The sequence below is a fragment of the Homo sapiens genome, chromosome 10 (genome assembly GCF_000001405.40).
Source record: "Homo sapiens chromosome 10, GRCh38.p14 Primary Assembly".
NCBI lineage: Eukaryota > Metazoa > Chordata > Mammalia > Primates > Hominidae > Homo > Homo sapiens.
In genome coordinates, this window is record NC_000010.11 from 272802 (window position 1) to 298867 (window position 26066).

At 46.9% G+C, this 26066-nt stretch overlaps 1 protein-coding gene and 1 pseudogene across 9 annotated transcripts in view, besides 1 other annotated feature; both read right to left on the minus strand.

Moving 5' to 3' along the window:
* Window positions 1-1399: 1399 nt before the first annotated feature.
* DIP2C (disco interacting protein 2 homolog C) overlaps window positions 1400-26066 on the minus strand; it is a 415468-nt gene continuing 390801 nt past the window's right edge. For all 9 annotated transcript variants that reach the window (NM_014974.3, XM_005252427.5, XM_005252426.4 and 6 more), the window contains 5 exons: window positions 15563-15620; window positions 13472-13546; window positions 10471-10645; window positions 8399-8522; window positions 1400-4776 (listed from right to left, as the gene is read on the minus strand). In NM_014974.3, the coding sequence (NP_055789.1) occupies window positions 4524-4776; window positions 8399-8522; window positions 10471-10645; window positions 13472-13546; window positions 15563-15620 (685 nt within the window). In that variant the 3' untranslated portion in view covers window positions 1400-4523. The remainder of the gene's footprint in view (window positions 4777-8398; window positions 8523-10470; window positions 10646-13471; window positions 13547-15562; window positions 15621-26066) is intronic.
* Window positions 9235-9324, minus strand: RNA5SP298 (RNA, 5S ribosomal pseudogene 298; annotated as a pseudogene).
* Window positions 11012-11081: an enhancer, noted in NCBI's record as "active region_2891". NCBI's record gives its function as "activates an Ori minimal core promoter by ATAC-STARR-seq in GM12878 lymphoblastoid cells {active_cell/tissue: GM12878}" and the evidence as "EXISTENCE:reporter gene assay evidence [ECO:0000049][PMID:35858748]".

The window sequence follows — 26066 nt, forward strand, 5'->3', positions numbered from 1 at the left end:
GAGGGACGTGACAATGACACCAGCCGACATTCTCATTCTACAAAGAAAACCCAGGGATTACAGGAGAGGTTGTATAGGATCTCAGCATGACTTTCTAGATTCTGGTAGAAAGAAATGTTGAGTATGTCAGTAGGGATCAGGAATCGCAAGTTCTACTGAGACAACAGTCAGAGCTGAGCATCGCAGCAAATGCGGCAGTTAGGAAATGACTCCTTGTGCTAAGCAACCTCTCCACAGAAGCAGTGTGACTGCTTCTGTCCAGGTGGACAGACCATTGTGAGTGCACTGACATGTTTCGTGGAGGATTCACAAGACAAAACGAGGACTGGCCAGCCAACAGAACTACTCTTGGTTGCATCCTAAGAACCCAGCCTTGTGCGAGGGGCCGTGGAGAATGCAGAACACAACTTCACAGTAGCAAATCCTATACTCACCCACCTGCGCTGGCACACACACACACCGGCGCTGGAATGCACGCATGCACGGCCCAAAGGAGGCCCCACGGGAGCAGTTCTCCTGGTTACCTGGTTTGTACTTGACCGGTCACGGTGAGGGCTGCCATCTGAGAAGCGGGAGCCTGTGAAGAAGCATCTCTCCCTCGCTATCTTCTGCTTCATCCGATGCAGCCCTGCAGGTCTCACACCAGCCGTTCACTTTCACACACCCAAAGCCTCATTCTCAGTCAGCGTGGGATTGTCCTGAAGGAAAGTTTGGGGTCAGGGGAGGCAAGTGAAATTCGAACACAAAGGCACTCAGATTACACCTGGTGCCATGTGTGAAGATTTTAGTTCCATTGATTTTTTTTTTTTTTTTTTGAGATAGGGTCTCGCTCTGTCGCCCAGGCTAGAGTGCAGGTGGCGTGATCTCGGCTCACTGCAAGCTCCGCCTCCCGAGTTCATGCCATTCTCCTGCCTCAGCCTCCCGAGTAGCTGGGACTACAGGCACCCGCCACCATGCCCAGCTATTTTTTTTTTGTATTTTTAGTAGAGACAGGGTTTCACTGTGTTAGCCAGGATGGTCTCAATCTCCTGACCTCGTGATCCGCCCAACTCGGCCTCCCAAATTGCTGGGATTACAGGCGTGAGCCACGGTGCCCGGCCCTAGCTCCATTGATTTTTCTTGTGAATAAACACTTATCTTCATGGAACCACTAGTCTGAAGGCCAGTTGATCTGCTACTGCTTTCCCAAAGACAAAGCCATAAGAATTCCCAGATCTTGGGCAAAAGATGCAGCTTTTGGTTGTCAAATGGATAAAGACAATTTGGGGTGGAACAGTCAAGTACTCGTACTTCCTGACACGCAAAGGTTCCCTACGATACAGCTGATAGAAAGCATTTGCACACAGGACTCACGCTGTTTGTCCCCAAATTACCAATAATCTGTACACTTGCAGCAAAATGTGAACAAATATATTTAGATATATTTAAAAGAATTAAAAAAAACATTTCACAAAACATTTGTTGCCATAGGAATTATTTTTAGCAATAAATGCCCACATCAAAATTTAAACATTTTTCAAAGTATGATTATCTGTACTAAGTAATGCAACAAATTATGTAAACAGAGTCAGATACATTTCCCTGTAGGAGTCACTTCCTTCCCGGGATTAAAGCTGTCCCAGACATCTTTCCAGGGGACCAATTAAGAAACTGCTATTTTCAGAGCAACAAAAATAAAAGCTTTTATTTGTTCATTTGAATATAAAACAGGCGTTATCACAGATGTACAAAGCGTACTGGTGGTTTAACATACAAGAAGGTTGCTGTCCTTTGCACATAAAAATTTTGTTTGAAACTGTGGCTGGTTGAGTACATGAGTTTCTCTAACCAGTCACCACACTCTGAAATAACGCTGCTAACATTCAACTGATAAAAGGGACCATCTCCCTTGGGTAAAGTGTCAAGCAGGATTAAATATATATAATAAACAAGCACCATGAGGAATCTGCTCCTGTTTGATTAGGTCTGTGTTTATATGTTCACTGTGTACCCTCTTTTTGTGCAAGTTGATTACACGGTTTTGTCTGACTTCAAAAGCACAAGGTCACAAGACAAACATTTTTTACAATCTCATGAATGATTTATCTACAGTACAATTTTGAATACAGAATGACCCTTCTTTATTGCTGAAACTGGTGGTACTAAGTGTCTCCTTTCCTTTCTCTTGCACAACCAAATTTCAATCTCAGTCCACCAACTCTTTTGAGCCTAAACTCTAACTAATCAGAGTTGACAGGATGCAGAAGAGGCGGCTGCTAACTGCCCTCACAACTGCACTGCAGCGTCCACACTCCTTGAATGTAGAGTTGATCTGGTGACAGTTGAAATTATGTTTGAAGTGACATCTACATTTGTTTTGCTTCCTGACTTCAGCTGGACCTCAAAGCTGTCCTGCACACTGCAGCTAATGTTTCATAGTCAGTGCCTGGCCTGAAGCCCCAAACCTACCTCCCTTTCAACAAGGTGGGTGGGTGTAGGAAAATGTCTTTTTTCCCCCCAATGTGTGGTGGTTCCCCCCTTAGGAAGCAGAGACTAGGAATGTGCATCTGAAGCATGTGGAGAAATATTCACACACAGCAATGAGGTCAAACAATATTTCAAGAATCAAATGGTTTGTGGAGATGGAAGGATGCACCACATATGCAGACACATTTTTTTAAATGTGCCACTTTTTTTTTTTTTTTTTTTTTAACAACAATCAGCCTTGGATCTCAGAAGTCAAACAAAACTCTTTTAGCAAAAGGCTTACTGCTGACTGCATATAGCAAAGGCAGAGAAAGACGCTGCCCACAACATAATGAAAGATCATCTACATTTTGCCCAGCATCAATCTTAGTCATGCATATCTAGCACCGAGAGCCACTGCGGGGTCACACTGGGGCAGTTACAGAACACATCTTTCTCGGAGTGCAGATGCTCCTTCTTGGTTGGACACCGTGGGCCAATTCAATTTAGAAGTGCACAGGTGAGCTCTGAGAAGGTGTGGCCAGGAGCTGCCAGGGCAGAAACTGGGGCGCACTCGTCCACAGGCGGCAAACGACGCAGCTGGAGGACTTCTTGCTTCAGCCGGAGCTCTGGCATGAACCCCCGGGGAACTGTGCTCACTGAGCGAGGGAGCCCCAGAGGCTCACACAGAGCGGGCTGGGTCTTAAGACGAGGGGACGATCACCGATGTGAGTTCCGGACACTTTGTCCACTCCACATTGGCCATCAGAGGGGGAATCAATGCAACCCAGTGCGAATGACCACAGAATCGCATTCCTTTTCGTAGCAAGGACCAAAAAAAGATGACATTAACAAAAATGATGAAAAACATTGTGCAATGAATTCTTGCAGCTAAGAAAACAGTGCTATTTGCCAACCTAAAGCCCCTCAGTATCATCAGCACACGCTGGCATAAACACATTCACTGTTGTCCCACAGCAAAGAAAAAAATAGTGCACATTGAGCTTTGAATTCTTTTGCCATCCTTGAGATGGCAATAATTTCACTTGCTGGTCTCTGGTTCTAGAAGAAACTTTTAGACAGGGCTCCTGCGGTCTGCGACTGCTGGCAACAGCAGAGTGTATGTGAGTACGGGGGGCACACCATGCAAGTGACAAGTTCTGCATCTTAAACTTTAAAATCTCCTTTGTTCATTAGTGAATTTATATTTCATATATATATATTTGTTGTGATACTATCCACGCAAGATAATACAACACTTTTTTATATTAGCAAACATTACAAGACTTTAATATTCTTGAATGTTTTTCTCTTTTATAGTTCTAAAGAGATCAAAATAAATTAAACGTTTTGTACATAATTACATATTGAGGAAGTTAACTTATTTTATCTTTTTAGTTTAGTACAAAGATATTTGCAAGATAATTGCCGAAATACACCTTATTTATAATTTCTTCTCATTCTATACTAACTTCGAAGGCCGTATACCAGCCTTTGTTTCTTCAGCACATTTCTGACAAAGAAAGCTGCTATTATCTAATTGGAAGGTGCTATTTGGAAGGTTTTCTCGTACCTCAAACTTTCCTAAAAGGATGAGATCTAGCAATGGCTTAAATTAGTAACAGATCCATGTCATTAAGATTTCATGACACATTAAAACAGAGAAAACAATTCTTTGTCACACTACATAAATTGTTTAAAAGAACCCATCTGGAGGGCAGGATATTTTTTTAATTGCTATTTCGGCTTAACAAAATACCACATTTACGAAGAAAGCACTTATTATCCAATAATTAAAAAAGAAAGAAAAGAAAAGAAAGTTTTGAAATGGGCTTTTCCAACAAACTGAAGGCAGTAATCCAAAGTCCTTCTGAGCGAAATTCAGTGGTAAATTCACATTTCACCCCCATGCCAATCGTGGCTGCTGTGAGAAGTCCTCTTCCTCCTCCTCTTCCTCCTCCACTCTCACCACAAATGGCTGTATTCTGGTGAGTGTTGCCCTGTGTCTGCACGCTTCAGTGGACACGGAGAACAATGTCTACATCTCTAGAAAAGTCCATGGAAGCCAAGAGACGAGACTACATGTTGTAGGCCACATAGATGGGGTCTAGCTGGTCTGCCAAAAACCCGTCTCGCAGGTGCATGCGCTGCTTCTCCCCACGGGAGTTGATGGGGATGACGCCGATGTCCACCACGACCACCACTCCGACGATCAGGTAGTGCTCCTCCAGGACCACGTTGGTCACCAAGGGAACCAGGTCCAAGGCTTCTTGTTCCGACCCATCCAGCTCAACCACAACCACCAACAAATTTGTCCAGGTAAACACAGCACTAAAAGACAGAAAAGAAAGCCATCATTATATGTTTATTAATGCTTTATTTAATAGCCGTGGTTTCAAAGTTCCACTTGGCTCTCTCTGACCTGCCTGAGCACTGCCCGACAGTCTCCTCCGGCCTCTCCACGTCCTCCGTCTGCCGCCCACTAATCGTTCCCCATACAGACTTCCTGGCGACAGCACCTGTCGGTGTTTCCTACCAGCCTTCTCTCTCGGTGGCTTCTGCGACTGTTTCACCATCTTCCCGAGTTCCCATTTCTAGCACAGCATCACTCCACCTGGCCAGCGGAGTCTGTGTTCCAGTGCTGCCTCTTTGCTGCTGCCTGGAGGACCAATGCCCTCACTGAACAGTGCAGTGTGCCATCAGCCTCGTACCCTCAAGGCAGCCCTGTGCCTCCTGCTTCCAGACCCCCAGCTCTGCTGCTGAGGGCCGTGCGTGCGGAGGCCGAGGGCAGGGGTGCCTACTCCTCTCTGTCTGTGCGGTGGCCCCGAGTCCAGCTCTGCTGCTGAGGGCCATGCGTGTGGACGCCGAGGGCATGGGTGCCTACTCCTGTCTGTGCGCCCGAGTCCAGCTCTGCTGCTGAGGGCCGTGCGTGTGGACGCCTAGGGCATGGGTGCCTACTCCTCTCTGTCTGTGCACCCGAGTCCAGCTCTGCTGCTGAGGGCCGTGCGTGCGGAGGCCAAGGGCATGGGTGCCTGCTCCTCTGTCTGTGCAGTGCGCCTGAGTGGGGGTGTGTTTCCCAGTCCTGGGGCTTGGGCTCAGCATGGAACCTGGTCAGCCTGTGTTAGGGAGATGAATGCCGGTGGAGGCTCCAGGAGGGCTGGATATGGGGGCTTCTCCTGGCGTGCCTGTGCCATTGCAAGGATGGGGACACACCTGGGCTGGCCCTTGGGTCCGGAGGATAAGAAACACGTGGAGAAGAGCCACCAGTCCTGTGCCCAGCTAAGCTGCTTGCCCCAGCTGAGCCAGCCCCTTGAACGCAGATGTGGGGACATTGTAACAACTCTCTCTAAAGCACTGAGCATGGGCTGGCTGCCATACAGCCATGGCTAACCCATGTGCAGGGAAAAGTCTTCTGGAATATGGAAGATTCACTCAGAAATGTTTTATCTGGGATCGAGTCATCTTTCAGCAGGACAGGCACCAGAGGATTAAGTCTGCCCAACTGGCAGAAGCAAAAACCCGGTGCTTTACAGTTTAAAGGATATTTAATGGCTTTTGGAACTAACTGTTTAAGGGCCCTGACATTCACAGAGCCTGGTACTTGAGGTCTGCTTGGCTGAGGAGGCCAGAAGGTTCCCGGGCAGAGTGGGCTGGATGGAGACCAGGCTCCAGGGCTGCTCGTATCTGCTCTCACGCACCTGACAAACATGTTCTATCCCAGCTTGAGGCAGGAGATATTTTAGGAAACTCACTATTGTTCTAAGTGGGAGAGTAAGTCAGTTAGGAAAAAAACGCATATTTTATTCAGTATGGCCAACCTATGTTAAATTGAAAGGGAAAATTGGAGAATTTTCCTGGAAATTCTCAACAGTTCTCCTGGATTTTGCTTTGTGACTGCCGCATGCCTATGGAGCATGCTAAGAGCTGTTTCCCAGAGGACGTGCTGGCGCTTAATTCCTGTCATACTGCTCCTGGTGATGTTAAAATGTTGCTCTACATGGCCCATGTGAGCCCACATTGTGAATCTGTCATATCACAGATATAGACGTCTCAGGCGCATTTGGTATACTTTTATTACGGCATTTGAAATGTATGGAATAGTCCTAGAGTATCCAAATCTGCTTGGCTCTCCGGAGGAATCAGCTTGGCTCTCTGGAGGAACAGAGCTGGCCGAGGGTGTGCTTGCTCCACTATCTCCTCTGCCAGGGACCTATGGGGTGGTGCCAGTGACTCTCAGAGCTTTTACAGGAGCTGTGCACGCTATTTAATGCTGAGAACAACTGATGAGAAATGAGAAAGTTTGTTTGGCTTGAATTTGGCAACATGGAGAGTCCCATTCCACAGCGCTGGGTGTCACAGCCGCATTTCTCAGCATGGAGCAGCCGATGGTGGCCCCAAGGGGCAGTGCAGGGAGGCTGGGAGAGGGAAGGTGGAGCAAAGCAGTTTGTACCTGGATCATCTCAAACATTCAAAAGTCCACTCAAAGGACACTGTGTGGGCAAGGGGCATGTGAGCCCCTGACCCGGTGAGGGACAGATCCAGTTTGGGGGTCACATGGCAGGTAACAGCAGCGACATTTGTTACAGAATAAGCACCACGGTCTAGAAGCCCACAGAGGGCACCAGCGAGGCCCTCGATGCACACCTTTTAGCGGGAAACCAGACAGAAAATGCTTGAGGGAGGTCACACAAGCCAATTAAAATTGTTTTCTTAAAAATACAAAAACGGAAGGCTGTAACTGATATTCGTAGCTATTTAGACGGAAAATAAGGTAGGCCCTGGCCGAGTTTCTGGGCCAAAGTCTTCCTAGAGTTTCTGTCTTCTCTGTATACTCAAGGAGAGAAGTGTCAAGGAAATCGACAATCTGAGGACTTTTGAGAGTAGGGGCTTAGCCAACTTGAGCCACACGAACACGGACAGGTATGCAGACTTGATCTTGTAAATTCTGCCAAGGCCTTAGTGTTCAAATTCAGCAAATGGCAGTAAGTACCAGCCTTTATTGCATCTCAGCTAGCTAAGAGGAGGAAGGAACAATCTCAGAACCCATCCTTTCAACCCAGAAGAGCTGTTCATGAGAGTGCAGAACATACCTCCCTCAGGGTTTCTGACCTGAGACTGAGACCAGTTTCACCAGGTGCCCCTCAGTTAGCACCCGGTCTGTTATCAAGGGAATGAACAAGTCTAAAGCCAACGGTGTTGAGTCACTTTTCATCCAAACTGCCAATCTAAAGGCACTGAACAAGCCTGTAAAACTCCCCGGCCCTGGCCGACTTAACTTACGGCACTCCAGCATCCAATCCACTCCCACACCTCAGAAGAACCTACTGCTGAATCTCCGGCAGCACCATTGACATACTCAGCACTTCACAACAGATTAAATGGGCCAGAGAGAAAGACAAAGTCCCAGCCTCAGAGTCCTCACCTGGGCCCAGAGCAGAGTCTGCCCCCAGGCAGCAGGTGCGACGCACACACCTTGTCACTGTCAGCCTTAACTCAAGCAATTCTTCCTTTGGAAGTCTCTTCTGGGGTCTGGACAAACGCTGCCTCTCCTTCTCACTGAAGTTTTCCCATGTCTCATGTTACTTCCAGTTCCCAAGTCAACAGTCATAAAAGTATTTTCTGTGCCTACATATGTGTGAGGTTTGTTTTCTTCCTATATCATGATTTTGTAAATTAAAAACCAAACAATTTGGCTTCCTGGAAAATGTTGTCAAGTAGTTTTCACGGCAATAGAAGTCTATCGTTTTCAGGTAATATATGGTACATTAACTCTACATGTGGCATGTTCTTTTGTTGCTTTAACCCCAAAAGATAAAGATTTATAGTCAAATGTTGAATCGCACCCCCTTCCCTACCTTAACAAAACTCTCCTCCACCGCCGTGCTCTCCACATTCTCAATGCTTCACAAACTCTGCTCCTGATTTGGGTACAAGCTGCAAGCTCACGACTTACCATTCCGTAACGCTTTTATGGGCTCTGATGACCGAGGTCTCAATGTCGATTGGGTGGTACCGCATGCCCCGCAGCTCCATGGCTTCGTCCAGTGCCCCTACCACGTAGAGGGCATCATGGCGCTCTGTGGAGTAATGACAGCCTGCGTAAGCTTCCCCATAATGCCGCTCAAGCCGTTTCCTTCTTTTCTTAAAAAAAGATTAAAAACGACCCCCAAGTGAGACAGGGATGCAAAGGAAGGGGCTCACGGATCCAGGGACGTTTGTTTCCTTCTGCCACGGAGCTCCTTGGCAAGTGCTCGGCTCGTGTGCCAGTACCCCACAGGCTGGCTGCAAAGCCGCCATGCGCCCTCTACACTTGTGCTTTGGGAGAAGATCTTTCCTGGCTCAGCTTCGATATCCAGTCAACTGCCTGATTGCATGTTCATCGGGAGCAACTGAGGGGCGAAGTCGGCACCCAGCGGTCTGAGTTCCGTGGACCCATCGGCTGAGGCCTCGTCTGCCCAAGATCACACGGGATACAGTGCAGCCACAGTCAGACCAGCTCTGTGACTCTATCCCACACATGCTTCTCTGTGCTACTAATTCTGTGTATAAGTGGGAAAAGAAAGCATAGCTCTTGCTCTTGTTCATGAACATTTCCTTAGCTCATAGAGCCAGGAAATTTATTTCTATCCTTCTTGCAAACCTCAGAATAATGACAATGACAACAAGTGGTCAGGTCCTATCTTTCCTTAATAAGGAAATATGTCCTAAATTTTTATAAGGTAGTAAGCATATTAGGGAAAATTTGAAAGGCATGATTGACATATAAAATAACATCAGAGTTAAGTATTTTCTCCCATCCAAGTACTAACCAGGCCCGACCCTGCTTAGCTTCCGAGATCAGACGAGATTGGGCGCGTTCAGGGTGGTATGGCCGTAGACAGAGATAAGTATTTTCTAATTTAAATCAGACAAAGAAAGATGGAGACATTGACTCGGCCTCTGCCCCCTACAGCAGCTTTGCCTCTTCTCCTGTGGCAGGGACACGTCCTTCAGGGTATCCCTGCTTCCAGGACTCAGCGGGACGTGGCTTTCCTGGCCTTTCTCTAGGACTATAAATTGCCACCAGCTTTTGCAGCTTCCAGGAACCTCAGGCAGTAGCCTCAAACTAGTCTATAATTTCCCACAATGCAAATGTCATGCCAGGATATTTCTGTATGATTCCTAAACATAGCCTGTTGGGCCAGGCCATTGTAGGTATGTTAGAGAGGTATGTAAGGAAGCCTTACTGATGTCTGCAAACTCATCTCCCTGAGGTTTTGGTGAGTCAAGATCTCACCAGGAACCTCAACTGCCACTGTTGTGAAACAGCCAAGTCCTGCCTCTATTTTTAGCAGAACTAAGGAGGTGAGAAAGGATTCTGGAATAAGCAAAGAATTAACTATACAAGTGCACTTTTACATGTCCATGTCATGAAATACCCCTGGCTTCACCCTGCTCTCCTCTGATGGGGCAAAGGCAATGCTGTCCACCTGGCTGCTCCACACCAGGCACCAGCATCAGCAGCACCAGGCCCTACTCTCTGATGAATGCATGGGCAGAGACAGCTGGCCACCAGGGCCCGAGAGCCTCGCGGCCTCCTCTTCCCTGACAGGGGCAGACCCAGTCCTAGAAGCAGCAGCATGCACGTTCCTGCAGCCACTGGGACAGCTTCTGTCTCAGATGGACCCCGTGGGAGCAGGCAGCCTTCAGGCTTGCTGAGGAGACTCTGTGGTCTGAGACTCTGAGCACTTTGCTGTGGGTGACACTGCAGCCCATGCTCAGCAGCCATGCCCCTCTCCGGTTTTCAGTCAGCTCTTGGTTCTCAGGACAGGACAGGGTATGTGATGCACAGCTCAGCTTGTTGGACACATTTGCATTTTGCTTTCCTCTTGCTCTTAAACTCGGTTCTTTTCACACTGGGTTGTAGCTAGCACACGTGCCCTCCTGGCTTTGGCTGCTGTAAACCTTGGGAAAGGCTTCTGTATCTACAGGAGCCTAACCTCTCTGCCCATCTGTTGGGGGGGGGCCGCCAGCCTGGACTCTCACCTCCATTTGCATCTGTGAGCTCAGTTCTCCGCAGGAACCCCAAGTAGCCTGTGCGTGCCCAGATGGTCTGGGTGTCTCCAAAACTTAGTCTTGAGTTGAAGTGATCTGACTGGAGGGATTCGTCTCCGTAAATAGTGAAATAACCGCTGGCATTGTGGGCACTGTGAACCCAAATCTGCAAACGGAGGGAAATGTCACTGTGGATGACATTATTTTATCTCCAGGGAAATGAGACTACAACTACTTTGACAATTCAGTACATTATATTCAGTGATAGTAAACGTTTCCTTGGACTGAATAACCAAGATGATGTTAATCTCATTCGGGTTTCTCGAGAGACACACAGAGGATACTGAAATAAAGGCAGTCTACCAAGTTTGTGGCCAAGCAACCAGCCAAGGCATCCCTATGGGGAACTGAATTAAAGCAGATTAGTTGAAGATTTAACAAATAGGTTTTAAAAATATACACATCAAATGAACAAAGTCACACTAGATTCCTTACACTTTAACGAATGATTATTTCTAAAGAGCAAGAACAATGCTGAAAAGCTTTGAGATTTCTTTTCTCATTTCACCTGGTTAGCTAATACTTTTGGACATATATTGCAATAAAACAACACACAGAAAAACAAAACCTAAGGGATGAAGGCACATAACACCAAAAACCGGAAACGAAAATGCCTGATGTCTGACATTTGGGGAAATAGGTAAGCAAAGACTGATATGGTGAGTCAAAGCGATAGCCACGTGGGTTACGGAGAACCATGGACAGGGCTGGGTAAAAGCAAAACCAGTGAAGTTCCACAGATGCCCACGCAGCTGTGCCCACACAGCAAGGGTCAGGAGAGGCAGGGCCTTGTAGACTCTGGAGTGTTTGCTGTGGAGACATTCTGGGCTTGGCTGTTTCCATTATTTTACTGACAATGAAAAGTGGTCAAGTTCCAGGAAGTCAGAAACTGGTTTAGTACTGCACCCACGTCCCCAGAGCAGTGCCTCACATATGGCAGGCACTCACTGCCTGCACAACAAATGAAAAAGTGAAACTGAGAGAGACAGTGCACCATCAGATCAGGGAAATGACAGCCGTCCTCTGTTCCCTAACACAAAGAAAATTCTCATTAAGGCAACTGAATATTACTCAGCCATAAAAAAGGAGGAAATGCTGCCATTTGCAACAGCATGGATGTACCTGGAAGACGTTGTGCTGAGTGAGAAGCCAGAACAGAGAAGGACAAATACTGCACCACCTCACTCATGTGGAATCTAAAAAGCTGAGTTCATAGAAGCGGAGGGTAAACGGTGGTTAGCCGGGACTTCAGAGTGGCAAGGGGGAGATGACGGGCAAGGGTGCAAACCCTCAGTTAGAGGGCAAACAGGTTATGGGGAGAAAATGTAGTGCGGTGACTACAGTTAATAATACTATATCACTTAATTGAAATTTGATAACAGAATAGATCCTAAATGTTCTCATCACACACACACACACAATGTGAGCTGATGGATAATAGAACTCGGTCGTGGTAACTGTTTCATAATATGTATATACATCAAAGCATCACAGTGCATTCCTTAATTTATATAACTTTCTCAATTAACCTCATAAAGCGGAAAAAACACACATTCTTAATAAGAAAGTCACCCTGGAAATTTCGCCAGTTCTGGCCACCCTCAGAGGGAAGAGAATTCTGACCCTGGCCCAGCCTACGTCTCGGGCAGCACCCGTGAGGACACCCTCCAGGTGCCGGAGAAGCAGGCTCTGCTTCCAGCTTTGTTTCTAGGAACACATTTAAAGGAAACTCCTAAGTGAGAGCTGCACAGAATTTTATCTCCGCAGTTCTGATCTTTCATGTATGTGACTGAGAGAGGTCAAGTGAGGGGCCAAAAAAAAAAAAAAAAAACACAAGGCCCAAGAAGCAAAGCAAGCTGGGACGTGAGAACTGGGGAGGGCTTGCTCATTGGTCAGGTGTTCACCCACGTGCGTGTAGAAACGTGCTCTTGCATGTGCTGGGGATGCGTCCAGGGCTGAGGAGGAGGAGGGCTGGTGCTGTTTATAAGATGCCAGTTCTTAGCACGCCTCCCACATGTGCTGCTGGGAGCCATTCAGGAAGGGGGGCGCCTCATGGGACAGGACAGGTGATAAGGGGAGTGAGGGTGTCCTTGGCCAGACATGGGGCTTTGTCCAACGGCACGGCAGGCCGGGGTAACCGGAGGGAGGGCACACGTGCTGCCACCGTGGGAGGAGGCTGGCTCCAGACATGCTCTTCTCCAGTGCCCTCTGCTTCCTCATAGAAGCAGGAAGCTCAGTGCCAGAGAGAATGCGGCGGAAGGAGGACGCATGAGACAAGTGGCCTCTCGGACTGGGGACGCCCAGCAGTGCCAGGGCCTGCTTGAGATGAGGTGTCAAGAGAGGAGACCAAGGCCACACAGCTCCACGAGGCGTCTTTCTCTAGCTGCATCCCGCCAGTGCGGAGGGGCACAGTGGCAGGGAGTTAAGAGCCAGCCAGGGCGGGCTCATTCTGAACACAATGAGGCAAAGGTGTCAAGTTCCACTGTTTGCTTTCTGATCTGAAATAAACACATGATCTCTTGGCTACTGTGTCCTGATGCTGTTGTTTGTACACTACTTCCTGTGGAGGTCTCTGCCACTTTCCTGGTGAAGGACTTCTCAGTAATAAAAGCAGGAACGTGGAAAGCAAACTCAAGAGCCAAGAAATAAAGAAACTCAGTCCATACACATTATGTGTTTAAATCTTTTCAGAATTATTTGAGGACAATCTATTATACTTCCCTAAGGAAGTGCCATTTTGTAATTGTGAGCTTTCATGGACTCATTTGAGCCATAAAGCTTACCTCACGCTATTTCCCAGGCAATCATAACTCACTCAGCTCAAACCGGTGTGTGGCAGATGGAGGGCATGTGAGCAGTTCTGATGGTGTCAAGGCAAGCCAAGGATACATAACAGAAAAGTAACCTGGATCTCGGAGGACACTCAACTCACCTCTCCAAGGTGTGAGTCCCCCAGCGGTCCTTTTGTTTCTGGGTTGGCAATTATAATCCGAACCCCTGGAAGTATCTATTTGGGAGAGGAAAAGTCTCTTGTCAATGGGAGGAATACAGGGAGAGACTACACACAAGCCAACCTCAATCTCATCTTTATGCCATTTCCTTTCAAGACTGTTTAGAAAGCAATTAAATCAAAACTATATGCCACATAGTTATGACCCATTATACAACCACAGCCTCACAATCACAGCCTCACAATCACATTCTCACTGTAACTGTCAATATTGTATGCTGTTATGGTGACCTCAAAATTAAACATTTTGATTGTCAGTCATACCTCAATAAAGCTAAGAGAAATCTATTGAAAATCATGAAAATAATGTTTGAACAAAAACATGGTAAATGATATAATGTTTAACACAGCCTGACCTTGAAAAATGGGAATTTTCAGTTGTTTCAATGAAGTTATTTAAGATATTTACATAGAGTCAATATTACATCTCACATCATGGCACACACATGGATGGAGGGTGATGCTTGCAGTAATCGCTGAAGGAAGGGAGTCACATAGTGACGTTTTCAGGGGTAAGCATGGACTCGAAGATAACCCAAAATGCTTTTGGCAAAATGATATAGTAGGCAGCTGCTCTGGTGGTGCCAGAAGGGAAAGATTGTGGGTCAACTGCTGGTGAAGTCTGCAGGTTTTCGTTAGAACGTCCGTGTGGATCTCCAGCTCATCTCCACCGAATTTTCAACTCAAGATACTGGGGAACTTTTTCCTGCAGGTAAACATCTTTTACTGTAATAGATGTCAGTACTAAGCATTTCCTTCTTTTTTTTTTTGAGACAGGGTCTAGTTCTGTCACCCAGGCTGGAGTGGCATGATCACAGCTTACTGTAGCCTTAAGCAACCCTCCAGCCTCAGCCCCACAAAGTGCTGGGATTACAGGCATGAGACACTGGCTCTGGCCAGAATTTCCTTCTTAAAGTTTACCTTAGAAATATCTCACATTCCACTGATACCACTTATATAAGGAATCAAAGGTTTATTCTGGAAATCCTGAATATAGCCTGCCTCAGATCAGCTCATCTAACATTTATGATTGAGATAAAGGCAAAACATTTTATGGTAAAAACACAGAACGTCTTGGAATAGTCACACTGTTAAATCTCACTTAAGTCTGAAGTGAGATTTCAGGGCTCTGGATTCTGCTGCTGACTATGGTCCGCCAGACTGTTAGGATGGATGGTGAGCACATTCCTACTGTTGGAACCAACTCTGTGAAGCATTCTAACTTGCAGCCATGCAGGCAACTTTATAATAGAAGCAACATGAGATGCTCTTAGAATTATGTCAATGGAGAAGGAATCTGACAACTGGGGCCGAAACGGAAAAAAAAAAAAAAAAAAGAGTCTTTATTTAGGTGTTTAAATATCTTTCTTGCCCTTTAGTTCTAGTAAAAAAACAAAAAAACAAAAACAGAAACAAAAAACACACCCACTGTGGCAGAAACTACTGGTTGTCTCTTGTTAACCATTCTTTTCTACTTTCATAGTAATAGATACCCTGATTTTTAGGTAGGCCTTTACATATTCAGAATTGATATCTCAATAGTTCCCAACCTTTAGCTAGGTGTGGCCATGTGACCACATTCTGATCAATGGAATTTCAGTGTAGGACAGCTTGGGAACCTTCTCTATGGTCTGCATGCTTTGTTCTCTTCTTTTTCTGTTTCTCCTCCTGCTGGCTGGAATGTGGAAATGATGGCTGGAGCGGAAGCAGCCGCTTCAGCTCCTGAGGGGCCCCTGGTAATTGGGCTCCAATGCGCAGAACGAGGCTGAAGGCACCAGGGCCTCTGCTGGCTTCATGGAGGAGGAGATGCCTATTTCCTAACTTTTACCTGAGGAAAAAAGTCTAACTTGTTTAAAACACTGTTATTTTGAGTTTCTATACTCACTGATATGTTACTTTCAAGAAATTGTTTTGGAAAAAACATTCTAAAAAATACATTTCCTAAAATTTCAAAGCCCATACAGTCAGAAGCGAACGGATACAGAAATGCGTGCCTCTTCCTATAATACTTACCTTTCCCGATTCCATCAGGGGCAGACTATGAGGGGATCCTCTTTCCACTAAGCGGACTCTGCAAACAGAAAGAGAAAATATTCCTAGATGTGTTTGCTGTCCAGTTTTCCCCTTCACCAATTCACACGAGGTCACGAGCCTGGCAGCTGTCCGGGAAAGCTGATTCTGAGCATCATCCAACAGCAAGGACGAAGCTGCAGAAAGAGCAGCCCAGCAGCAGAGGAAACTGAACCCGAAGCGAGGGCCACAGAGAAGGCAGATGAAGCCGCATCTCTCAAACCTGCAAAGTAACTGGGAAAATGACTCTGAGCTGAAAGTAACCATGAGTCCACTTAGCATTTTCAGAAAAGGAAAAGAACACGGATTACAGAGTTTCCTTGAAAGAGCTGCGGGTCACCCACGACTGTGTTGCCTGGTCCTCAAGCACCGACGGCTGTCCTGCGGGTGGAAGGCAGGGCCAGGTGTGCAGCGGCCGAGAGCCCTCCCAAGACAGCGCGTGCATCGCAGCCACAGGAGCAGAGAGAATTGCTGGGCCCTGACGGCAAAGGTACTCAGAAAAGAAACTCTTACTTCAAAGAATACATAATGATAATTTAATCTTAAGAACTGCCAAGGACATCGCAGCAGGCCACAACCAGAGCTTCGCTAACAGTCCTCCCAGGTGCATTATTTATTTTGAGGCCTTCACTACTGGTTTTGCATTTTTACCAGGTGCCTAGTGGACCATCACACTCTTCATTCACCTAAGGGGCAATTTTTTTTATTTAAACAAAATAAAGCAAAGGAGAAAGTGCTTGAAGGCTTGAAGATGGTGAATCACAGGACGACATGCCTCCCACCTGGGGACAGGGTGCGGGCAGGGGGCCTGTGGGCTCCTGAGACACCCTTCCTACCATCCCCCAGTGATGTTTTTTTTTTTTTAAAGAGACAGGGTCTCGCTCTGTCACTCAACCTGGAGTACAGTGGCACAATCATGGCTCATCGCAGTCTGACCGCCTGGCCTCAAGCAATCCTCCCACCTCAGCCTCCTGAGTTGCTAGGGCTACAGGTGTGTACTACCACATCTGGATAACTTTTAAGTTTCTGTAGAGAGGAGATCTCACTATGTTGCTTAGGCTGGTCTCAAGCTCCTGGTCTCAGATGATCCTCCTGTCTCAGCCTCAGAAACTGCCAAGATTACAGGTGTAGCCACCATGCCCAGCCCTCACTGAGATTTGAAACACACCAAGAACCCACTCTTATGCACTCGACACAGCAGTCTTCCTCTGTAACTGACAGATGTACCAAGAAGGAGGATGAGGGGTAGGGAAGGGGCAGGAGGTACCAAGAAAGAAGCCTGAGTGTCTCCGGGCCCTGAGGGACCAGTCCAGCACAGCCCTCTGCGTGGCACGAGGGAGGCCACGGAGGGTGCGCACCCCTCTGGGAATGGGGGTGTTTCTGCTGCCACAGTGGGAGGCACCCAGCAGTGTGGTAGGTGGCACCGGCCTGACGTCCTCCACGTGCCAGACATGTGGCTGCACTGCTCCTGCCAGACCTAGGGCTGTCTGCAGCCAGGGGCACCATCTCCTCTGGCTGTTGAGTGACTGAGGCCACAGGACAATTCCTCCCCCCAGCCTGCTGTGTCTTCTCCGGTTGCTGCAGACAGAAGCACCCGTGCCGGGGAGGATCCTCTGTGGCGGAAACAGGGAAGGCCAGCAGCACTTTCTCCTCTGCGGGAGAACAGAGAGGAGACGCTGGGGAGGGTGCCTGTGTGCATCAGCAGGAGTCTGATGAGGGAGAAAGACTTACTGGAGCCATTTCAGATCAGATGACAACCATTAACTCTGTGGTGTCTGTCTTAAATGGAAACCTTGATGCCAACAGCTGATGAGGGCTGCCAAACAGCTCACATGATTCAAACTCTTACGGAACACGCCGATAGGCTTGATGACGCTAACCTCCAAAAATGCCTTAACTGGCTGTTTTAACACAGAATTGCAAGAAACTAAAGAACTTTTAGGAGCCTGGTAGCATTATGCTAATTCAGGACTTGCCATGAGAATACCTAGAATTTGCGGTGCAACACAAATGTGCTCTCCTCTGGACACTGACCACGGAGAAGCTCACAGCCAGAGGTGGCATGCACATACTTGGGATGTCGGCAGGACATGGCCATGCCAGGACAATGATGCTGACTCCTTCCTCCGTGCCAGGAGGCCCGCAGATGTGCCCTGATCTGAGCGGCCAAGTGGAGTCAAAAGCCAGCGAACCGTGGGCTTCACCCCAAATGAAGACAGCAGTAGAGAAGCCAGGCCAAGCTGGCCGGGGCAGCGGTGAGAAAGGGGCACCTGGAGATGATGAGGAGAGGGAAAGAACTAGGAGGGGGTCAGAGGCCCCCACCTCAGCATCCTACAAAGGCCAGGTGACCAGCCAAGGAGTGAAACTCAGCCAAAACCGAGGGCTGTTTAGGACACACCATCTCCATTTCTGCGGCCAATCCTCAGTCATCTCTACTTTAGGACGTTTGAGATCCTGTCGCTGGCCGGAATCAGATGCACCTGGCAGCTCTGGGAGCTGTCGCTACAGGGATGACTTCAGACAGGGTAAGGGGGTCACTCAGGAAACAAGGCTCTGGAGTTATAAAAGTGATGGGCAAATGCCCCAGGGCTCTGCCAGGCAGGGCCCAGGCTGTGCAGCATTCCCAGATCTTCCTTATCTCCATCCCTGTGTGTTTTTACCTTGGCCTGTGCCCAGCCACTAAGGGGGCATGGAGGAAAACAAGACAGGTGAGGCTCTGGGCAGGTGTGTGCTGGCCAGTGCCTCACCCTCCGGCCGTATGTCCTTCACTCTCTCCAGCCTCTGCCCCCATATTGATCCTAAGCCTCAGGAAGCGAAGCAAGACGGAATCTCAGCTGAGAACCTTGTCTGAAGTGTTGAAAACACGGAAGATCATCAAGAATTCCCTCTCTGGTTCATGTGAAAAAGGTGTGTTTTGTATGAAAACAGGCACAGGGTGCTAAATCACTCAGGTCGGTGCTGGATGAAAAAGCTAAATATCCTGCTAGCAAATGCCACACAGGAATTCCTTCTTCTACACCAAGGGGAACAATATCCACACAGCCAAGAGAGGAAAAAAGCTACCCCGTATCTAAGGGCAGAAGAGATGTCTTCCTAAAGAACTAGGAGATATATTTGTAACATACACATCAGAGGGCTGATTCCCTCCATGTGCAAAGAACTCATAGAAATGAAACCAGGTGATCTTGGTTGTTCTCAAAAGTAGTGTTCTCCACAGTTACAGAGTGGGCTGAGTTAAGACCCGGGTCAAAGTGTGCTGCTCGGTGCTGACTTTCTCAAACTGGGGATCATATGCAGACATCTCCAGGTTTGGGCAAATTAAATGAGCTATGAATCTGAAGTGCTTGTGGTGCGTGAGTTATAAGTAGCTGGGGTTATTAACACTTCTCAGTTAGAACCAGGTTGTAAGGTTAACACCAAGGCGTTGCCTGGCACACGAGAGGTGGGCTGCTGGAGGGAGATGCAGAGGTCTGTGGACTCCGGGAGCCAGAGGGGAGCAGGAGGACTCCATGGGGGAGGGAGAAATACAGGCTCAGCCAGGCTGGCCCTCTCCTGCGGGAAGTGTGACTGAGCCACCAAAAGGACCAAGTCATGCTGTAAGAAGACTCTCATCTTCCAAGAGCCATTGTGCCGAGGCTGGCGTCCAGCAGAGCTCACCTTCTGTGAGAGCACCTGCCGCTCAGGTCACACTGCAAAGTCAGCTTTAGACAACTCAGGGCTGAGGAAACCTGTCAGCTCCAGATCCGGAACTTTGTGCCACTTTTCTTGCTGCCTCCAACGTGCATTACTGCTGCCCAAATCGGCTCCACGAACCATTACTGCTGACACCCTTCCCTAGGTGAAAGTTGGTTTTAAACAGTGCACCTACTTTCACATCAAGGTTACAATTTAACTGTGTGTCTGAATAAACTCTTCCAGCCTGGCCTCTGTCTCACCCCTTATTTCTTCTCCAGTCCAGTATAAATCTTGGACTTGCGGGGAATAAACTGTCTTTTCATCCTACGCTGTCAAGTGGACTTGAAGTTCGGACTTTTGCTAGAAAAGCAGAGATAGAGAGTTGACATGAGGGAACTTGCTACTAGCCTCTAACTTGCCCTGTCCTTGAACTGCCCTCAAATGGACTCAAACTTAGCAACCTGTTTTGCTAGAAGCGACGTCTCGGAAGGCTGAAGCCCTGATGGCGCCGTGCAACCGAGTGGGGAACGAATGCATGGCTGTCACAAGAGGTCTGTGAGGTCTTCATTCTTCATTCGTGCCTCCTGGCATCACACGTCTGGCCTCCTGGGAACAGGTGGGAAGGTGCTGCTGAGATAATCAGGTTTTTCATCATTTGTCTAAAGAGAGCCATGGTTGAACTTCTCACTAATCCTTCCCTGCAAAGCTACAGAAGAGACTCTTTCTTCCTCCAACTGAGATTCTCACCCAGGGGCAAGGAGCCTTGTCTGAGCCATGCAAAGGCGGATGAGCACAGCTGCCCTCTGCCTAGGACCACCACCCCCTGGCAGCACCCGCTAGCTGGCAGAGAATCCATCAGCACCCCAGCTCTGGAGACGTCAAAACAACCAAGAAACAAATAGCATTCTCTACCCCAACAGAAGTGCGCCGGCATACGGCAGCACTGCCCCCGCCAGAAAGACAACTGCTTCGGACCAGTGCAGCTGGAGCCCCTGACCAATGCCCTGGGGTGGGGCATCTGATGCAGATGTCAGCAGAGCATCCACTGGGAGCCCACCCTGCCTGCCCACACCACTACTCAGCACTGGCCTGATGGTCACTCATGACCTGAAGGGTCCAGCATCCTCAGCACCTTCAATCTCAAAAACCAGCGTGACAGACCAGATGCAGACGGAGCTGGTGCTGTCCTCAGTGCCAACTCTGTGGCATTTCAAGGGGAGCAAACAGGACGCAGGGAAACCCGGTCATGGAAAGCTGAGCTGCAGCACAGCCACGCTCACCGTGTGAGGATGGCATTTATGAATGTGCCGCTGAAAAAACAACCAAAACTTTTACTTAATATTTTAAACTACACCTTCTTCCAAAATTAATTTGAAGCATTTAAAATACCCAATATAATAAGACCATCTGAACAATAAGCTTTTAAAAATCCCCAAAGATAGAGGGGAAATTAAATACTCAAAAACTTCAAGTTAATTAACAGAGATGCTGTGACTGAGTCTAGTCTGCAGCTTCCTGGCAGCTAAGGTACACAGAGGATGAGGCAAGTGTTACTGTCAAAGTTGGGATTTTAATATCTTGCCACTTACTTTGCAACCAGTGAAGCACATAAGAGCATTAAAATCACAAGGAACAACAGTGCTTAAAAATAACAGGCATCATGTTCACACATCCAAAACCACAAACAAAACCAAAAACAAATGCACTATTATTTCTACAGGAGGTCCTCCCAGGACTCAAGCCCTAACAAAAGCTACAGACACTGCATGAGACGGCCCACGGTGGCCACCACAAAAGGCTAAGGGGAAGAAGATCTGGATCAGGGAAGTCCAGAAACAGATACCAATCACCCAAAAAATGAGCAACGAGAGAAAACAGAGGAATGTTTTCATCTAACCTAACCGCATTGCACAAATGAAGTACCAAAGCATACTTTGTGTACTTTTTTCATTTATAAAATTGTAAACTTAACCCTCTCCAATCCAAACTCTTCTGTCCATCCTTTTCCCTTTTCTCTCCCTCGGGTGGAAGAGAGCTCTGTGTTTTCTTCCCATAAAAGACACCATTTGCAGGTGTGGACTGAGCCGACCTTGCAGCCCAAACTGCCCTCTTCCATCTTCTTCCAAGGCCAGATGGGTTCCAAGTTTCAGAGGTGCTCGATTTCTGAACGCTAATCCCGAGCACAGACCCCTGCTACCTAAGACCCTAATCACATGCATCAATACTCTGGGTGCATCAATATGCTGGGTGCATGTAACATTAGCACTTGGGGAGGCTGAGGCAGGAGGATCACTTGAGCCCAGGAGTTTGAGACCAGCCTAGGCAATGTGGCGAGACCCCATCTCTACAAAAAATGCAAAAATGAGCAAGGTGTGGTGGTGTGTACCCGCAGTCCCAACTACGTGGGAGTATCAACTGAGTTTGTGAGGCAGAGGTCACAGTGAGCTGGGATCATGCCACTGCACTCCAGCCTGGGTGACAGAGTGATACCCCATCTAAAAAAAGAAAAAAAAAAAAGAGAAGAAAAAAATGCATTAACGTTTCTGTGGCAAAGAGTGGGATAAATTGTTTATCAATTTATGTCCATTCATAAAGTTTCCATGACATTCACTTGCATCGAATTAAAAAAAAAATTTATTTTTGGGAACTCCTTCGTTTTTAAAAAAATACTTACTGAATAAGACCTCAAAAGCACAGGCCACAAAAGCAAAAATAAGCAAATAGGATTATAAATAACTTAAAAGCTTCTGCACAGCAAAGGAAACAAAGTGAAAAAACAACCTACAGAATAAAAGAATACATTTGCAAACTACTCACCAGACAGGGGATTAATATTCAGGATATATAAGGAACTCAAACAACTCAACAGCAAAGAAAAACCCAAAAAACAAAAAGAAAACTGATTAAAAAATGGGCAAATGATCCAGACATTTCTCAAAAGAAATAAATGTCCAGAAAATACATGAAAAATGCTCAACATCACAAATCATCAGAGAAGTGGAAGTCTTTTTTTTTTCTTAAGTGAAAGCAAGTCTATTAGGAAAATAAAGAAATAAAAGAATGGCTACTCCACAGGCAGAGCAGCAGCAAGGACGGCTCAGCTGCTTATACTTATTGTTACTAGGGAGGCAAAAGTCAAAACTACAATGAGATATCATCTCATTCCAGTTAGATGGCTATTATTGGCCGGGCGCGGTGGCTTACGCCTGTAATCCCAGCACTTTGGGAGGCCGAGGTGGGTGGATCACGAGGTCAGGAGATTGACACCATCTTGGCTAACACAGTGAAACCCCGTCTCTATTAAAAATACCAAAAATTAGCCGGGTGCGGTGGCGGGCGCCTGTAATCCCAGCTACTCAGGAGGCTGAGGCAGGAGAATGGCATGAACCCGGGAGGCGGAGCTTGCAGTGAGCCGAGATAGCGCCACTGCAGTCCCACCTGGGCGAAAGAACGAGACTCCATCTCAAAAAAAAAAAAAAAAAAAAAAAAAAAAAAAAAAAAAAAAAAAAAAAAAAAAAAAAAAAGAAGGCTATTATCAAAAAGACAAAAAATATCAAATGCTGGTGAGGATACAGAGAGAAGGGAACTCTTATACACTGTTGGTAGGAATGTAAACTAATACAGCCACTATGGAGAGCAGTATGAAGGCTCCTTAAAACACACATACCCTTGGGAGGCCGAGGTGGGCTGATCACAAGGTCAGGAGTTCGAGACCAGCCTGGCCTATATGGTGAAACCCCATCTCTACTAAAAAAATACAAAAATTAGCTAGACGTGATGATAAGCATTTTTTCATGTGTTTTTTGGCTGCATAAATGTCTTCTTTTGAGAAGTGTCTGTTCATATCCTTCGCCCACTTTTTGATGGGGTTGTTTGACTCTTTCTTGTAAATTTGTTTAAGTTCTTTGTAGATTCTGGATATTAGCCCTTTGTCAAATGGGTTGATTGCAAAAATTTTCTCCCATTCTGTAGGTTGCCTGTTTGCTCTGATGGTAGTTTCTTTTGCTGTGCAGAAGCTCTTTAGTTTAATTAGATCCCATTTGCCAATTCTGGCTTTTGTTGCCATTGCTTTTGGTGTTTTAGACATGAAGTCCTTGCCCATGCCTATGTCCTGAATGATATTGCCTAGGTTTCCTTCTAGGGTTTTTATGGTTTTAGGTCTAACATTAAGTCTTTAATCCATCTTGAATTAATTTTTGTATAAGCTGTAATCAGAGAAATGCAAATCAAAACCACAATGAGATACCATCTCACACCAGTTAGAATGGCAATCATTAAAAAGTCAGGAAACAACAGGTGCTGGAGAGGGTATGGAGAAACAGGGACACTTTTACACTGTTGGTGGGACTGTAAACTAGTTCAACCATTGTGAAAGACATTGTGGCAATTCCTCAAGGATCTAGAACTAGAAATACCATTTGACACAGCCATCCCATTACTGGGTATATACCCAAAGGATTATAAATCATGCTGCTATAAAGACACATCCACACGTATGTTCATTGCGGCACTATTCACAATAGCAAAGACTTGGAACCAACCCAAATGCCCATCAATGATAGACTGGATTAAGAAAATGTGGCACATATACACCATGGAACACTATGCAGCCATAAAAAAGGATGAGTTCATGTTCTTTGTAGGAACATGGAGGAAGGTAGAAACCATCATTCTCAGCAAACTATCACAAGGACAGAAAACCAAACACAACATGCTCTCACTCATAGGTGGGAATTGAACAATGAGAACACTTGGACACAGGAAGGGGAACATCACACACTGAGGCCTGTTGTGGGGTGGGGGGAGGGGGGAGGGATAGCATTAGGAGATATACCTAATGTAAATGACGAGTTAATGGGTGCAGCATACCAACGTGGCACATGTATACATATGTAACAAACCTGCACGTTGTGCACATGTACCCTAGAACTTAAAGTATAATAATAAAAAAAAAATTAACTGGGCGTAGTGGCCTGTAGTCCCAGCTACTCAGGAGGCTGAGGCAGGAGAATCACTTGAACCGGGGAGGCAGAGGTTGCAGTGAGCCGAGATCATGCCACTGCACTCCAGCCTGGGTAACAGAGTGAGACTGTCTCAAAAACAAAACAAAACAAAACAAAACCAACCCCCCCCCACCCCACCACATACACACACACACACACACACACACACACACACACCAAACTACGAACAGAACTACCATACGATCCAACAATCCCACTACTGGGCGCCTATCCAAAGGAAATGAAATCATCAGTGTACTGGAGAGACATTTGCACTCCTCTGTTTACTGCAGCCTGATTCACAATACCCAAGATATGAATCCACCCAGGAGTCCAACAGCAGATGAATGGATATGGAAGGTGTGGTATATAACATTGAATAGGATTCAGCCATAACAGAGAATGAAATCCTGTCATCTGCAGCAAGATGGACGGAAGCGCAGGACACTAAATAAAGTGAAATAAGCCAGGAATAGAAAGTTAAATACTACACGTTCTCACTCATATGTGGAAGCTAAAGAAAGATGATTTCATAGAAATACAAAGTAGAACAGTGCATACTGGAGGCTGGGAAGGGAGGGATGGGGAGAGATTTGTTAAAGGAAACAAAATCACAGCTGGCTGGGAAGAATACGTTCCAGTGTTCTGTACCACCGCAGGATGACTATAACTAACAGTAATTTATCATTCAAATAGCTAGGAGGAAGATACCAAACATTCCCAAAGAAATGATGCACGCTCCCGATCTAATATCCCGATCTGCTAACTACATGTTATATGTATTGAAACATATACCCTATGAGTTGCACAATTATGTGTTAATTTTATAAAAAGTTAAAAATACACTTTTTAGGAGTTTCAGATTTAAGAAAAATTGAGCAGGATGGTAGAGCTCCCACACTGCCCTACAATATGCCCCAGTCTCAGAATGCGCACATATCCAACATTAGTTAGAATTAGTAAGCCAACAGTGAGACGATTTAAATCTATCCTTTACTCAGCCTTCCTCATTTCCCCCTAATATCCCCTTCCTGTCCCAGGATCCTACCCAGGATTCCACATGACAATTGGCCGTCACGTCTCCCTGAGTTCCTATGGACTGTGACAGTCTCTCAGAAATGTCCCTGTTTTGCTGACCTTGACGGTTTTGAGGGGACTGGTGAGGTGTTTTGTAGGCTGCCCTTTGGTTGGGACTTGTCTAACATTGTTCATGGGTAGACACGGATCACAGGCATTTTGGAAAAGGGCTTTAGAGATGAGCGCCCTTCCCATGGCGTCATATCAAAGCCCCCCTGCTCATCACTGATGGTGACCTCGCACTTAGCTGGGTCACGTTTGCAGGTTTTCCCCGTCCCTTCCACATGCCCTCTCTGGAGGCATCGCTCTGCTCAGCCCATGCCAGAGAGGAGAGGGTGTGTGCTCTCTTCTTGGCTTTTGAGATGCGACACTGCTGGCCTCATGGAGGGCACAGCCTCCTGCCTCTGGGTGACCAAGCCCATGCCTCAGGCCCATTAGCTTGTGATGGGCAGCCGTCTGACAGAGGAGGTCTAATGACCGTGGGGCTGCAGCATTCTCCCAGGTGGAATGAGCACAGAGAGCTGATCCATCTGCACAGAAGTGTGCACAGGGCAGAGAAGCAAGGTGACAAGGGGACTCCTGAGGATCTTCTGGGCTTTGCTTCCAGACCCTCCCTGTCACTGGGCTGCACCTCCACCCAACCCTCCAGTTCCTCAGGCACCTCTCTCCTACTTCAATCTTCGCTTGCTGAA